The sequence below is a fragment of the Homo sapiens genome, chromosome 18, assembly GCF_000001405.40.
Source record: "Homo sapiens chromosome 18, GRCh38.p14 Primary Assembly".
In the NCBI taxonomy this organism is placed as follows: Eukaryota; Metazoa; Chordata; class Mammalia; order Primates; family Hominidae; genus Homo; species Homo sapiens.
Genome location: NC_000018.10, coordinates 79,299,550 through 79,316,685, shown reverse-complemented (window position 1 = coordinate 79,316,685; position 17,136 = coordinate 79,299,550). Strand labels below are relative to the sequence as shown.

At 43.6% G+C, this 17,136-nt stretch overlaps 1 protein-coding gene across 37 annotated transcripts in view, besides 1 other annotated feature; it reads right to left on the bottom strand.

The window, feature by feature from the left end:
- The window catches only part of ATP9B (ATPase phospholipid transporting 9B (putative)), a 308,890-nt gene that overhangs the window by 61,598 nt on the left and 230,156 nt on the right, over positions 1-17,136 (bottom strand). For all 37 annotated transcript variants that reach the window (NR_148360.2, XM_017025726.2, XM_011525963.3 and 34 more), the window contains 2 exons: positions 12,970-13,082; positions 9,452-9,700 (listed from right to left, as the gene is read on the bottom strand). Coding sequence is in view for 36 of the 37 variants with exons in the window: in XM_017025726.2 (XP_016881215.1) it covers positions 9,452-9,700; positions 12,970-13,082 (362 nt within the window). In the remaining variant the exon portion in view is untranslated. The remainder of the gene's footprint in view (positions 1-9,451; positions 9,701-12,969; positions 13,083-17,136) is intronic.
- Positions 7,244-7,744: an enhancer, noted in NCBI's record as "H3K27ac hESC enhancer chr18:77068942-77069442 (GRCh37/hg19 assembly coordinates)". NCBI's record gives its function as "activates a minimal SCP1, AML or CMV promoter by ChIP-STARR-seq in naive H9 embryonic stem cells {active_cell/tissue: H9 hESC(naive)}" and the evidence as "EXISTENCE:reporter gene assay evidence [ECO:0000049][PMID:30033119]".

The following is a 17,136-nucleotide window of genomic DNA, read 5'->3' as shown; positions in this document are numbered from 1 at the left end:
CATGGCATCTGGTGAGGGTACCAGGTGCTCTCTGACGTGTTGGCTGCGCTGCGGTGGGGCTGCTGTCCTGAGGTCACTGCTACTGCTGACCACATTTGGGAGGTGGATCCCTGCAAGAGCTACTTTCCCACAGAGACCACTTTGATCTCTGCCCTCTTTGCCACAGCTTCTTTGAGGTTATTATTTGCAGTCTTTGGTTGGACTGTATACTAAACATGTTAGCTGCCAACAGGACAGACATGGGAAGAAGGCTGCTGAGGGGTGGATGGAAATTCTCAGGTGTGCGGCTCAGATTCTGTCTCCACAGCAGCAGGTGACACGTGGCTGCAGCCCTCACATTCAGGCGGCGGGTGGAAGGTTGCAGTGGACATTTTTCCCTGTTTTCTCTGGATGCTCTCAGGGATGGCGCAGGCAACCACAGAACGCAATCTCCACCTGCACGACCGGCCATTTGTCATTTAGATTTTTCTTTACTCAGTCAGGAGCTCTCTAATAATCCTGTTTCCGATGTCATCACTTGATTTTCTCTTTCAAAGCGATTGTGTCCGTATTCAATAAAAAACTGGCAGAGTAGTTTATCAAGTACTCCTCGTGTGCTTCTATATTAATATGGAATTAACTGCTGCCTGACATTATGATAGGAAGTAATCCCTAAGATATTTTTCTCTGAAATGCAGAAAGACCAGAATTTAAAGGCTTAGTACACTTCAAATGACTAGTTCTCTGATACTGAGCTGTCAAAAATCTCTAATAATGTGATTCTTGACAATTCAAAGGCAAAAAATAACTAAGATGTGAATGCAAAAAAATATATGTAAGTGGGAACCTGAGCTGAATCTCATGCACAGGCTGCTTAGCAACACAGTTAAGTAATCTCTGCCACAGGCGATTTGTTTACACACTTGCACTTCTCCATGCTAAATAACCACTCTGAGAAACAGACCCAAGAGTAGCACAGCCAGAAGTAATATCATATGAGAGAATACAAAATACGGGGCAATTCTTACCATTAATAATTCTCTATAATTCCATTATTCAGAAATTTCTGTGCTACTGTTCTTAAAAGCTAGGAAGAAATTTCCTTTATCATATTAGCAATTCACACAGGCAGCTACCCGCTACACTGTAAAAATATACATTTTCTTACCATGCACTTTGTACATCATAATTTAATCACTGAGATTTCATCATTTTTGATTGTGGTTATTATAATCATCTCTATATTTTAATGGAATTATTAACATAAGATGCAATTTGATCATCTGAAAAAGCTGCTAATCAATATTCACAGATAGGCTACGTAGTATTTATTCTCTATTGGTCCTGAAGGTCACAGTGTGAAGGCTTTATGTCACTGACAATGATTTGCTCCTCACAAATATATCTGACAAAACCCCACAATTAGTCTTGCTTCAATAGGCACACACGATAAAATGAATTAAAAAATACAGCACGCCTCATGCATTAGTGCCTACTTCTGTAAACCCAAAAGCAATACTATTAATAACCCACTTGTGCTCTGTCATTAATTATAGCTGATTCTTGCAAATAAATACTGGAGTCAGGCGATGACAGCTACATTCTGAAATACTATTTAAATACGGAACTTACCAACATGAGAAAACACAGCCACAGAGGGAAAAGAATGAGACTACTAAACAGCTAGTCTAGAGGAATAAGCAGTCATTAAGAATCACAGTCACTCTTTCTGGACCAAAAGAAGCCGGCGGTCTTCAAAGTTCCTTCCACCCCACGCCTTCAGCGCTTGAGCTGACACCCTCTGCACTCAGAGGCTCTGCCCACCGAGCTTCTGTCCTTCTCCGAGGGCTCATGCCACTAGTTCGGTGCTGGTGTCCTGCGACTGCACTGGACATATGCCCTAACAGTTAAACAGGGCTGAATTTTAATTCTGTGAGGGAACTTCCAGAGAGCATTTAACGTTTGCTCAGCTAGAGCCTGCTATGCTGAGCCTGCGGAGAGCAAGTGATAGGCAAGCAGAACTTTCTACTCTCTTAGAGAAAATGAAATATTGATCACTTATCATAAGAAACAATGACCGGGGCATAAGTAGGTTCCACATTATGAATACGAAATCAGTTATTTACACTTTGACAATCACCATCACATCTACCTTCAAGTATCGTATCACCACACATACCACACAAGACACATCACACTTCAAGTGTTTAATTGCTTATGCCTCACAGGACCTTTAAGGATTTAAAATTAATTCCTCAGAATTCAATTATTTGTATAATACAGATTCATCTATGCACATGTGTAGGTAAGGAGAAAGATTGTTTCTCCTTCAGGAAAAATGAAAATCAAAGACTGCTTATTTCCTGAAGAACAGCAACTGTGTATCAGCGACTAAAACTAGGGCACTCTACTTACTAAACTGCATCCTTCCTAAAGACCGAGATGACACAGCGCCACAAACAGGGTTTTAAGAGGATGGTATGGGTGCACAGTGGATGAAACTAGTTAAGTCTCTCAAATGATAATGTTGCTTATTAACCATAGATGTTGTGATAGGTCAGAGCTGAGGTTAAATAGAAAACATCAATTGAACCATTTCCCTAAATAAAGCTCCAGGGTGCAATATTCTAAGCACTTTATTCGATAAAAAATGCTTTTAAAACGGTACTTTGGTGATCGGGAAACACTACTATCATCCGTCAACCTAACTGCAGCAAAGTTCAATAAGCTAAATAATGAACCATTTAGATGATTTTCCTGAGGCTTTAGGGACTTGCAAACATTGCATCAATAGAGCTCTTTAAAAATTATGATGAAGTCTATTGTTTTCATTTTCAGATTTAAAATACGTTTTAGGGATTTTTAAAAGGTTATTTAATGTTCTGCTATTTTTTATCATTGTCCAATTTCCCAAGTAGAAAGACATTTTAGACAAGTAAAAAAATTTAACTGTAAGGTTAGCAATGTCTATAGTTTCTCTAAATTTTTAATAATCTTGGAGTCAATGAAATCTCTATTGTGAATTCCCAATTTAAGATTCAAAAAGTGTTATGACTTATATTAAAACTTAAAAATAAAAAATCCCAGATACTTTGAATAAAAAATGTGGAATAAGGTAATATGGTAAATATGTAATACAGTATTTTTAAAACTTCAAATACAGTTTTCTTTGGGAAAAATCTCTAGTCTAGGTTTCTCATATTTATGGCAGGAAAATCCTTCTTTTTCAATACATAATCACATGACATTTTTGAGAATTTCCAGAATGCCATAACAGAAAAAACAATGTGTTCGACCCCTTCTTGATAGGAATATGGGGGCTTGCTTCCTCTTACAGAGCGGTTGCTCATGACCTGTGTTTGTCTCACAGCCCACACTAGAATGCTAAGAAGACAGCAACTGATAAATCTTACAAGTCTCAACTCATCGTCTTGTCAGTCTAAATGCCCATATTTGCTTATGATTGTGGAACTACGCCTCTTCGCTCAGATTCTCTTTTACTAAATAAATGGATCTGAGACACATACACACACCCCAATTCCAAACGTGGTTCTGAGTTTAGCTACAGAGATTTTTACGTATCTATCAGTCAACACAATCTATGAACTGTAACAGGGCTGATGGCTAAAGGAAGCTTAACAATCGTGCCCACTGACAGAAAGGTGTAGCCAACAGCGCGCTGACAGGGAGTGGGAAGAGTGGAGCTTGGGTTTCCACATTTCCTCAAAGTTGAAAAACTCTATACGATGACGACATTGTATTCTGGAGCTTTTCTGAAATCTAATACTTCAACTGATCCCAATTTTCAGAGACTTTGCCAATTACTTTCTGAAAAGAGGGAAGTGACAATGTGATTCACAAGAAGGAACTTAAGTTCTTTATCGTAATTTCACATTGTACCAAAAAGGCAAATACCATCTAAACTTTGGGACATGGCCTTGCTAAACTATAGGAAACTAGCTCCTACTTAAACTTCCACTAATATAGTTTTAAGGACCAATATTCCTACAGATGTGTTTTACTCCCCTCCTCCCACTTGACCAGTAGCTCCCCGCACCATCTTCCCACACAGCCAAGGTTCGCTCAGCAGGCGACGCTTGTGAGCCCCTGAAAAGAAGGCAGATGTGGCGTAAGGAAGATAAAGCCTGCTACTCAGAACCTGCGAAAACACGGAGAGGGATGCCCACCCAGAAGACACATGGGAGTCCCGCGTGCCAATGGGCAGCTGGGGACCCCTGGTCTGGGGTGAGGGCAGCCAAGGGATGTCAGGCTAGGGAAGAGCACAGAAGAAGCAAACGAGCGAGTGCCAGGATGCAGCTCCATACAAGCTTGGCGCAGCCTTGCTGAACAAAATGCTCTGAATAATTATAAAAGTAACGGAGTGACTACAGAAATTTCACACAGTAATATAACTGCATTTAGGAAAAAGTAAATGATCCGTTTATGCCAGTCCATAGAAGGCACCACCCAATCCACATGTACCCACCATCATGAATTACTGATGTGGCCGGAAGAGCATTTGGATGGGGCACTGGTTGAACCCAAGCAGGGAAGCCAAGACCAGCACCTCCGCGAAGGCACCTTTGTGAAGGCACCTCGGCGAAGGCGCGTGAGCAGACCGGTCTCAACGCTGTGCATGGGAATGACTGGAGGGAAGGCGGCAGGCACACGGAGTTACTCAGAGAGGTCTCGGGAACAGAAGGCATTACGGGTTTGACAGCAAAAGCCTGCCACGAGGGAAGGCTGCATGGCTGCGTGCAAGTGCGCCCAGCCACACCGGGGACAGAGATTCTCACGAAAGGCTCAATGAAACACAGAAGCTCCGGTGATGGTGACAGAGAGGAACGTGTACTGGCTGCGATGCAGGGCTGTCCCATCACGGTGGCATCCCTGATACTTATCTGGAGATAGGAAGGCGACGGACTGTAGAGAAAGACGGAAAGCCAACCTGTGATCCGCAGAGTCTGAGGGGAGATGAGTGATCCATGTTCTCAACTTCCCATGTTTAAAAAAACCACTTTCATCGTTTTGGCTACTTTTTCACCATCCTTTAGGTTCTTACATGGCTAATGACGTGTCATAATTGCTAAATTAGTATATTTTGGTTAGAGTAAGTTAGTATCTTGACTAAACAACAAAAAGAAAAATGCCTATGTAACTAAAGTTTTAAATAAGCAAGCTTGTTTTCCTTGAAGTCTAGCCGTGGCTTATACTTTGTCGAATACCATGAATCTGCTGGCACATTTAGGCTTTCTTGTTCCTGAGGTCACCGTATCAGGGGATGTTTATATCTGTCCCCTGGACAACCTCAGCTGAGCCCACTGAGAGTCACCACCACGAAAAGTGTACAGAAAACTTAAAATATTGGTGGAGGAGGGCCTCACATCCTCACATTCACCCGTTTATCAAACTTCAGCATTCGCCTCAAGTCCTAAAAGTAAGTCAAAAGGAAAGATATATAAAATACAGTGGTTCTCAATTGTGGGGTGTAACCTTTTAGATTTTCAAAATGGAGAAATGTCCAGCCCCAGCCCAGCATTTCTTTTCTTTTTTTTGAGACTGAGTCTTGCTCTGTCGCCCAGGCTGGAGTGCAGTGGCGTGATCCTGGCTCACTGCAACCTCCGCCTCCTGGGTTCAAGCAATTCTCCTGTCTCAGTCTTCCAAGTAGCTGGGATTACAGGAGCCTGCCACCACACCTGGCTAATTTTTTATATTTTTGGTAGAGACGGGGTTTCGCCATGTTGGCCAGGCTGGCCTCAAACTCCTGACCTCAGGTGATCCGCTCAGCTTAGCCTCCCAAAGTGCTGGGATGACAGGCATGACCCACCATGCCTGGCCCCAGCCCAGCATTTCTGTAATGGGGGTGCTAGCGTGCATATATAAAAAGATAAGTATTTTTAAAAAGGAAACAAAAAAAAACCCCTGGAAGTCTGCCTGATGTACAGACAAGTTTAAAAACCACTTGCTTCTGTGTATATCTTTCCTTCCCCAGGAAAGTGGTTCCCACATCTGCACACAGACATGAGAAGTGCCTTCAGGACACGAGATCTAGTCCCATGATCCTGGAAGTTTGTGCCTTGTCAGGACACGGTCACAGCCAACTCTCAAGGAAAAAAAGATGAATGACATTACTGGTTGTTCCTGAGCCATAAAGTGGTAGAATTCTTCTGCTTCTAGAAGCCTAGACAAGAGACTCCTGCTTTCAGGCAATTTTAAAGTAAAAGTTGCTTGCCACCCTTGGTCAGCTCTGCAGCCAGCATAGCTCCTCCTCAATTATCAACACACATTTATTTATTCTGTTCTGTCTTCTTTGGGCTACAAATCTGTTCTAGTTATTACTCATAAGGCAATTTTCCAAACATTCTGAACGCATAGTTGTATATTCTGACTTCTTAATTTTAATCAGCAAAACGGTGATGCCCTTCCCAGTGCTGCAAGCCCCGTACTGTGCATGATGAGGCGCACACACGCCAGCTCCGCCTCCTCATGGCGGCTACGGTCTGTCCCTATTCTCACCCTTCCACAGCAAGGACTTGAGTCTCTGCTGCAAGATGTATTATCACCAGGGAAAGAGGCTCTCTCATGCCTCTCCACCCTTCTTCCTGCCTCTTCTCCACATGCCTCCCTGTCTGTCTGGCCCACATGCTGATCAGCAACAGTGGGGTTTTAGGCTCATATTTCCACTGTCTGTGGAATTAGAATTGAGCAGCTTTCATACCCATACTTTCAGAAATTGAATCAGTATTCCTAACACTTTCTAAGATTTTAGTTTTTTAACCTATGAATTTGCTTTGTCTTTGTGAAGAATCTTAATTTTCTACTCATTCAATAGTCATGGAACCTACACTCACTTTGCATCTTCTTTTGTTTAAATAGCTTTATGGAGACACTATTCACCCATTTACAATGTACAATTGAATTAATTTCAGCATATTCACAGAGTTGCGTAACCAACACGATAATCTATTTCAAAACATTTTCATCCCCTAAGAGAAACCTTCTACCTGCTGGGGATCACTCCTCCGCCCCTGACCTTCTACCTGCTGGGGATCAGTCCTCAGCCCCTGACCTTCTACCTGCTGGGGATCACTCCTCAGCCCCTGACCTTCTACCTGCTGGGGATCACTCCTCAGCCCCTGACCTTCTACCTGCTGGGGATCACTCCACCACCCCTGACCTTCTACCTGCTGGAGATCACTCCTCCACCCCTGACCTTCTACCTGCTGGGGATCACTCCTCAACCCCTGACCTTCTACCTGCTGGGGATCACTCCTCCACCCCTGACCTTCTACCTGCTGGGGATCACTCCTCCGCCCCTGACCTTCTACCTGCTGGGGATCACTCCTCAGCCCCTGACCTTCTACCTGCTGGGGATCAGTCCTCAGCCCCTGACCTTCTACCTGCTGGGGATCACTCCTCAGCCCCTGACCTTCTACCTGCTGGGGATCACTCCTCCGCCCCTGACCTTCTACCTGCTGGGGATCACTCCTCAGCCTCTGACCTTCTACCTGCTGGGGATCACTCCTCAGCCCCTGACCTTCTACCTGCTGGGGATCACTCCTCAGCCCCTGACCTTCTACCTGCTGGGGATCACTCCACCACCCCTGACCTTCTACCTGCTGGGGATCACTCCACCACCCCTGACCTTCTACCTGCTGGGGATCACTCCTCAGCCCCTGACCTTCTACCTGCTGGGGATCACTCCTCCACCCCTGACCTTCTACCTGCTGGGGATCACTCCTCAGCCCCTGACCTTCTACCTGCTGGGGATCACTCCTCCACCCCTGACCTTCTACCTGCTGGGGATCACTCCTCAGCCCCTGACCTTCTACCTGCTGGGGATCACTCCTCAGCCCCTGACCTTCTACCTGCTGGGGATCACTCCTCAGCCTCTGACCTTCTACCTGCTGGGGATCACTCCTCAGCCCCTGACCTTCTACCTGCTGGGGATCACTCCTCAGCCCCTGACCTTCTACCTGCTGGGGATCACTCCACCACCCCTGACCTTCTACCTGCTGGGGATCACTCCACCACCCCTGACCTTCTACCTACTGGGGATCACTCCTCAGACCCTGGTACCTGCTGCTCTGCTCTCTGTCTCCATGGGTCTGTCTGCTCTGGAAATGTCATGGCAATGGAATCACACAGGCATGCAGGTTGCCTTCTGCACCTGCCTTCTTCCACTGAGCAAAAGGTTTCAAAGGTGCCTCGATGCCATCATAGACGTGGCTCCTTCCTGCCATTTGTGACTGTATGATGCTCCATGTGTGCGAACAGACTACATTTTATTTCTTGTTTGATAGCTGATAGACATTTGGACTGCCTCCACTTCCCGGCTCTAACACTGCTGTGAACATTAACATACGGGTCTTTGTTCTCATGTCTCTCGGGCGGGGCATATGGTAATTCCATGTTCAATTTTTTCAGGAACGCTTAGACTGTTCTCTAGAGTGGCTGCACCCTGTTCCAATCCCACCCACAGTGCATGCAGGTTCCAGTTCCTCTGCAACCTCTCAGTCCTTGCTATGGTCTGTCTTTTTGATTCCTGTTATCCTGGTGGGTGTGAAGTTGCGTCTTGTCTCTTGGCTGAGATTCTATTCCATTATGGAGGGGGATGATGGCGCTCTTTTGTAATAAACTCGTCAACCAGAACCACCAGACTCCTCTCTTTAAAACATTAGATCTGATTTTTTTCTTTTTGTTTTCACTGAAGGTACGCCCTGCCCCCACCAATTATTTATGTATATGACACAGTTTTACAAAGTATCGGAAGACACTAGTTGGTTTATAGTGCTTCTGTGGTTGGCTTGATTACTTTACAGAACTACCTCAAGGACCTTAAAGGGACAAAGTGTACACAAAACTGTATATAAAATATACTAAGACATTAATTAAACAAATTTAATAATGAATTTTCCCGATCTAAAAATCAAAGAGTGATGTAAAGTTAGAAATAACTAATTTACCATGTTTAAGATCTTACCATTTCTGTAGGTTTTGGAAATTATTTACATTCCAATTTTCTTTTGAAATAAATGCCCTGTATTGAAAATCTGGCAAAATATGTGGAAATTTAATATGGAAACCAGATGATTCAATTTGGACACGGAATCCATAGCCATAAGGACAGTCCCAAACTTCAACAGTTTTATAAAATGCAGCTTTGACACAAATTACTTTACGGAATCAGTAAACCTCGCTGGTATTTCTCATGCTGTTCCCTGTGACCAGCCCTGGGTGTTCTGGGATGTGCCGAGATGTGGCGGCCGCACATTTGCATGTGCAAGGCCCAGGCTACGTCAGAGGCTACATGCTGGAATAGGTTGGGCAGTTTTCCACATACAGCTAAAACATACATTAAAGCTACGATAAACTGCTCCTCTATATTCCCCATCCCAGAAAGAATGAATCCTCATGACTCTGGAGTCCAAATGGAACGGACAAGCTCCCACGGTTTTGTGCTTTGACTGACCTCATCCGGGCTGGAAGCCTGGTAGGTGCGATTCTCATCACTGAAGTCTTGGTCAGCCTCTGCGAACTCAGTCTCCTCAGTAACGCCGGCCCGAGACTCATACACGGGGGTCACGTTGTGACACAGCACGATGGCTTTCACGGCTTCATGGATTCGACTACTGACACTTTTCCTAACTTTGGGAGCTGAAGATTGGGCTTTTCTTAGTGGAGTTGAACCAGTATTGTTTCCACCAGCTTGAGACTGCATCTTTAGAATATGAAACGTCACATAATTAAAGATAGAGCAAAGAGAACTATCTAGTTAACATGGAATTATTAACATATATGATTTTTACAAGCAAAGTAGCTAGAAATAAGTAGCCTGATTTGATTCTGATTATCTCCTATAAAGCACTGATTAATGAGTTATTTTTTTAAGCCTAGTACTATGAAGCACTTCGATATATCCAGGTTGTCAAATACACCAAAATATTCACTATACTACTTAAAAATCTGACAATTTATTTTTACTGTATTCACTTCAACAATGGCACTAATTTGCTATGTCCTTAACTCCTATTTATTCATGACTTCTAAAAGCAGAGTCAATTAAAGAACAAAATGAAATGGTATACTCACAACTGCTTTCAGCTTTCTTTAAATAATGTTGTACAAAGCTAAAAGCAGGACAAAATCTTTAAGAATCTTCCCTTAATACCATAAATTAATCCTGCTCTCAGTAGTCTCTGAGTTTAGACAGTCTAGTTTTGTGGATAATAACAACCAAATACAATCCTAAGTTGCATTCAGAGGAAAAATGGCCCCGTGTCATATCTCAGAATCCTGCTCTCTTAAAGCAAGTCCCCATTTAGGGCTTATGTGTGTGCCTGGCTCTCCTCGGGCTCAGCCATGTTTCAGAGATTTCATCGGCACCACCAAAGCAATAACTTTTTATTATTCACCTCCTACGTGGCGGAGGGTGTCAGAGGACACTCCCCCCAACCCCAACAGGATGTCAAACGTTTCTTCAGTTAACTTCGGAGTAACTCATGACAATCCTCCTTGGAAACCAAGGCTCTCACGCTTGGACTGGGTGAACAGATCCAATGAACTGTGAATCTCCTGCCCATCAAATTACAGTGCTGTCTAATGAAGGGTTTAACTTTCTGCTCAGCTGGTGCTGCCTTTCAGTGAGGACCCAGCCCATCTGCGCCTGCTCACGCTGCTGCGAGACAGCAAACTCAGCTGGCTCCCTCCTTCCAAACTACGTGATGTTTAGTGATGCTTGTACAATTTAATTTCACACAAATTCCATGAAAGATTATGCCCTCTATCACCAAATGCCTCCAGTGGGGAAATACAATCAGGTTATAAAAGATCTGTGTTGCACGGCAGTGGACCTACTAGACTCCTGTCATCTTAGTAATAAAACAGAATACCGATAGAGAATCAGATCAATTTCACATAAGAAGTACTGTCTGTTCAACTAACAGAAGCTTTCAGCAAAAATGATTTTAAAAGTCCTCTTAGGTGGAAGCACAATAAACATTTACTGTGTTTATATAATGATGCTTCATCTTTTCTGCTTTTAATTTTTTCCTAATAACTTATTTGAAGCTATTAAAATTACATTCATAGATAATTTTTTTTTTTTAAAAAGCAGAGCTCATCTGGTACTATTTCAACGCAGAAATAGATTCCTGGGAGAAACTGTATTCCTTCTCCTTTTAAGATTTTTCTTCTATTAATAAATATCCTAGGTTACAAATATTCCGTATCTAAATGAATTACATCCAAAATAATAAAGTGTTTGGCTGTGTACGTATGTTTGTTTGCTTATGTGTGTGGATAAACATTCCATATGCTAAATATATACACATATGAGACTTCTTCCATTTGACAGCATGCCGACAGTAAAGCTTATGCCAGACTGGTAGCAAGTATACAAGAAAGAGAAGGTTTTCAAAAAACTGAATACAATGCTGACCACTGAATGCTACTCTGGAGTTGTCAAGAGTAGAAACGCAGCAATGGGAAAGTGTCATTTAGTCTAGTCTCTGCGAAAATCAAGTTTGAAACAAATTACTGTAAATACAAAAAGTCTCCTAGACTCCACAGCTGACGTCGCCAGGTGGCCTCTGCAAGTCTGGGCAGCAGTGCCATGCAGCGCTGGGAACTGTCACCTCCCAGGGTGGGCTGTGTACACTTTTGAAGGGTGGCCTCTGCAAGTCCGGGGAGCAGTGCCGTGCAGCGCTGGGAACTGTCACACCCCCCAGGGTGAGCTATGTACAATTTTGAACCTGATAGGCCTTAGCTCATTATTATGTGGATCACTATATTCAGAATAAATCAACAAACAGGCAGAAAAAGGGCCTCAGAAGGTGTAAATTTGTGACGCACACTGCAGCCTTGTCTGCTAGTCTCTTAAATTGATTCTCTCAGATCTCCAGGTCTGATCAAACTGAATCAATGACTTCAAATTATGACAGGCACAAAAAAATGCAAATGAATGACAAGGAAACACTCCTCAGGGCCAGGGCTGTGCTCAGTGTGGTGGCTCTGAGGTGCCTACAGCAGGAATGAGGCTGTTAGGATGACTTGGGTCCATGGACAGACTCTATACACAACCCACTGCCTGCAAAATCTCTGGCAAGTGGTACAGCCTCTAGGCTAAATCCTGTTTTAAAAGCAAATACAGGTTGAGTATCCCTGATCCAAAAATCTAAAATTGGAAATGTTCTAAAACTTGAAGCTTTTTGAACGCCATTGATGCTCAAAGGGATGTTCAGATAAGCGATTAGAGGTGTTCAACCAGTAAGGATAATGCAAATATTCCAAATCTAAAAAAATCCAGAATCCAACATATTTCTGGTCCTAAGCATTTTGAATAAGGGATACTCAACCTCTAATTCCTGTTCTCAGAACTTTAGGGAGCTTTGGCCCCAACGAAAGGCAGAGTCCTTATCAATTAGGGGCACATAATACATATTTACAGATGAAAGAATGTGATATTTGAGCTTCATGTCATAATATAATAATAATGAAGAACACCTACAGATGAAACATCACCACCTGGGCACTGATGACAGGTAGGTGAATGACAGATACGAGATTCCCAACACGATGGTGTCTACTTTTATCTACCGAAAAGGCAAAAAAAGAATTTACCTTTAAAAATATGAGAACATTTTATTATAGAGAAAAACAGAACTGTTAGAAAACATATTGATGTAGTATCCTACTGAACATTCTTCAACTACAATGTTTACTGAATAATTTTTTACAAATAACTCACTAGTAAAATGTGATATGAATAAATGACTTCAGCACACTATGCCTTCTACGATTTCACTCATGTACAAATGCTCATCAAAGACGATTTCCTGATTCGTATATTCGAACAGACGACTGAAGTAGCAGGATGTTAAGACCACCAAGAAGCGTGCTAATTTACAGATGGGAACACACGAGGCTCAGCTGGACTCATGGCGCGGGATGTGTGTGGAAGCAGACCCCGTGCAGGAGGAACCCACTTACCTGTGAGTAGGAGTCCCTGACATGGCTCTGGATCTCATCCATCGTGTCGGCGCCATAGGACACGGTGCCCAGGTGCAGCCGCTTAAATATCATTTCATTCTGGGTGAGGGTTCCTAGGATAAAGGGGACAACAGCAAACACATTAATGCAGGAGGCCTGCGGGAACACCCAGCTTTCCTACCATGCAGGCATGCTGCACATTCATGGGCTGAAGCAGCTGGGATGCCCAACTGTATAATACAAAGTAGCGTTAAGATTGTTACTTGCTACTATTTTCATTTTAATAGGAAGAACAAGATATTTTCTCCCTAGCATGTCAAGGTACCTTTATAACATTTTTGTGTGTTTTTTTTTGGAGACTGGGTCTCACTCTGTTGCCCAGGCTGGAGTGCAGTGGCATTATCACAGCTCACTGCAGCCTCCACCTCCTGGGCTCAAGTGATCCACCTGCCTCAGCTTCCCGAATAGCTGGGACTACAGGCGCACGACAACACACCCAGCTAATTTTTTTGTTTTTTGTAGAGGCAGTGACTCCCTACATTGCCCAGCCTGGTCTCAAGCGATCCTTCTGTCTTGGCCTCCTAAAGTGTTCTGATTATAGACGTGAGCCACTGCACACGCAGCCTCTAACAACGTTTAATAATGAGAAGGGCTCTAGTTATATGAAGAAAGTCCGTCATTGCCTTTCAGCTCAGATCTGTTATTTGGAACGAATGCAACTTTTGCCTGCTCTGAAAGAGGCGGACATAAAACTAGAAAACTGAGTCACCACCTTTATAATTACAATATAGAACACTGCCTGAGAAAGACATCAACAAGCCCCAAATTAGGGTGTCCATTAATTTTTTAAAAAAACCTATTTCAAAAAATTAAGTCTTTTTAGCTGAACAGAAATGGATATTCCAGATGTGTTTAATCCTTAGCATGTATGTGTGTCCCTTGGAATGACAGACAGGAGGTCTGTGAAAGATAGGATGGCTTTTCTTTAGTGTTTTCCAAATACTGGGCTATCTGAATGTGCTTCCCTAATGCCTGCTCCTCAAGTACCACAGTCCTCCCTTAGGAGGACTGCCAGAAAAGTTGGGCCATGTATTAGGTGACAAAGAGATCTCATTTAACCTAAAAATACACATATTACATGTGCATATGTTTTATTTATTTGGCTTTATAGAAGCAAAGTAGCACAGGGAAGCTCAAATACCCTCTGGATATGTATGTAGCGTGCTGCGATGTGTGGTGCTTTCACCTTGTCCCCGGGGGTGTGTGCACTTATTTCACAACGTGCTGCCACGCGTGGTGCTCTCACCTTGTCCCCGGGGGTGTGTGCACTTATTTCACAACGTGGTGCCACGCGTGGTGCTTTCACCTTGTCCCCGGGGGGTGTGTGCACTTATTTCACAACGTGCTGCTTTCACCTTGTCCCCGGGGAGGGTGGGGGCAGGGAGGTTTCTGCACTTATTTCACAGCACATCCAAGAAGGGTTATCCACGGATACTGCTGACGTTATAAATCTGAGTATGAACAATGACACAGCCATTCATTGCACAAAATTGCAATTGACTGCAATAAAACCATAAAACCCAATTTTATGGTTGCAAAATATCCATAAAAATATTCACTCATTTTTATGTTCTTTGGCACACATGGTACTGGAATATAACCCAAACTGGAATATAACCCAAACTATTTTCATGTCTATGGTACCCTCTAAGTGCGTGAGGATTAGAGCACAAAGTGAATCAGTTAGGATCAGAACTCAAGAGGTCAGCTGGCTCAGAGCCTTCCATCAGGACACAGCGCTTACTTTCAAAGACAAGGAAAATAGAGCTTACAATTACTATTTTAGAGATTGTTTTGATAAATGCTCTTAGAAGAGTGAATATAATAAAGTTTTAAAAATTCCAAACAGCAGCTAACTATCTACCTGAGATGCTTCTCAGTTCTATAGATTTTGGCTTCCACAAAGTTTTATGAAGCACCTTTAAACTGGCTGTGCTCTGTATACCTTGAAAAGATGTCTCCAAGTTTCATAAATCTAAGTGGAAACAAAATCATCAAAATTACATGAGAGGCAGTTTAAACCTTTTTGTTTTGTCATGCTACTCTTGTTAAATAAGTAGAATTAACATAAAACACTAGGCTATATTAAATAATGCAGTTAGCAACAATTCAGTCTCTGACTACCATCATGAAGTTCTACAAGTGCTTTATACATTTGTGCTTCATACATTTGTTTGTTTGTTTTTTGAGACGGAGTCGTGCAGTGGCACTATCTTGGCTCACTGCAACCTCTGCCTCCTGGGTTCAAGCAATTCTCCTGCCTCAGCCACCCCAGTAGCTGGGATTACAGATGTGCGCCACCACACCCAACTAATTTTTGTATTTTTAGTAGAGCCAGGGTTTCACCATGTTGGCCAGGCTGGTCTGGAACTCCCGACCTCAGGTGATCTGCCCGCCCTGGCCTCCCAAAGTGCTGGGATAACAGGTGTGAGCCACCACCCCTGGCCTATGAGTGCTTTAAATAGCAAAAATGTGAGATGAAAAATGGTAGTTCTATCACTGCCAACAGTTAAAAGATAATGAAACCTTACATTAATTCATATTAGGGTAAGTACCAAGTTTGCCTCTATTATGTGTGCCCAAGTAAGCAGCTCTCTGAAAAATTATTTAACAAATGTGCTAAGTTAAAAACATTCTACTTAGCAGATTGAGATAACAAAGTATTTCCTTTAGACTTTTCTCTCTTAGTGTGAAGCATGATGATTTAGGGTGGGGAATCGTAATGAGGCATAAATCCTATGCAGTTTGTAAACAGGACTATGATTAATGCCACTTTTTTAACCCAACTTTTTTATTATGAACAATTTCATATGTAAAGTTAAAAGAATATTATAATGAACACCTGTATAGCTCCTACCAAGAGCGAACAATTACTTCTTTAGGATTTTAAATGACTGTGCAAGTATGCAAAGAACCCTAAAGAAAGAAATAGCATCTCATTTTCCATCCAGTCCTTGCTCAGTATGTTTGCTGGGCGGCTGTGACAGGCCCTGGGTGTGGAGTCAGCTGCAAGTGCAGAGCTCCCTCTGGGATGTGAGGTGCTGTTGTCCACGGCCCCGCAGCCCCGGGCTCAAGTCTCAGTGTCCTCACAAAGGGGTTTGTGTCCTCACCGCAACCCACATGCGACCCACAGCCCAGCCTCGCCTCTCCCTCAACAGCCTGCACCTCCCTGTCCCTCAGCACCTGCTGAGACATCTGCAAGGGGCCTGTCTGGCCCCGCTGGCCTCTCCCTATGGATACCTTAACCGAGAAGGGAAAGACCTCCCACTCAGCCTCCTCACTTTGCAAGCACTGCAGGGTGGTCCAAGGATGACACGAGGGCACCCAGGTGACATGCCTGACCCAGTCAGTCCTAAATAAACGAGAGCTACTCTTCCACAGCCATCATCACCACCACCAACCTTTCCTCACTTTCTGGATTCAACTACCTCCCAAACGCTCTCAAACCTCTCAACCCCACTTCAGACATGGAGTGCCCCCCTCCTGAAGCTCCTTCGCTCTGCCCTCTTACCACGCGTCCTGACTGCAGCCTCTTCCGTGGCTTCCTGAGCTCAGCTCCAACATTCTTTAACCTACCTTCCCCAGCAGTGCTATTTCCGAAGACAAACACCTCCTCATTCTAGTACGTTGCTTTTAGTGACCATCCGTGCCTCGCCACTGCTTACCAATCAAAGCATCCACTCCTTAGATGGAGACAAGGCTCTGCACAGCCCGGCCTACGGCTGCTCCTCGTGGCACAGCACAGGGCTCCGGAGAGCTGCCCATCTGCAGCAGGAGCTACAGTTCTCTAAACAGACAGTGACTCCCACATTCCCACTGAGAATTTGTGTATTCATTTGGCAAAAACTCATGAAAATGCATCACTACTCATTGAGCTTGGGAGTCCAAATCCTGCTGTAACCTGCAGGCTGCAAAACTTCATAGAGTGGATTTAAGCTCTCCAAGCCTCAGTTTATTCACCTGTAAAATACGGAATACATCTCATATGTTGCATGGATAAAAATGAATAAGACAATGCACAAAGTGCCCCAAACACAAGGAGGGTGAGGATTCCTTTCCTAAAGAATCCCACAGCATAACAGGGAGAGAGGCTGCAAGAGATCATGC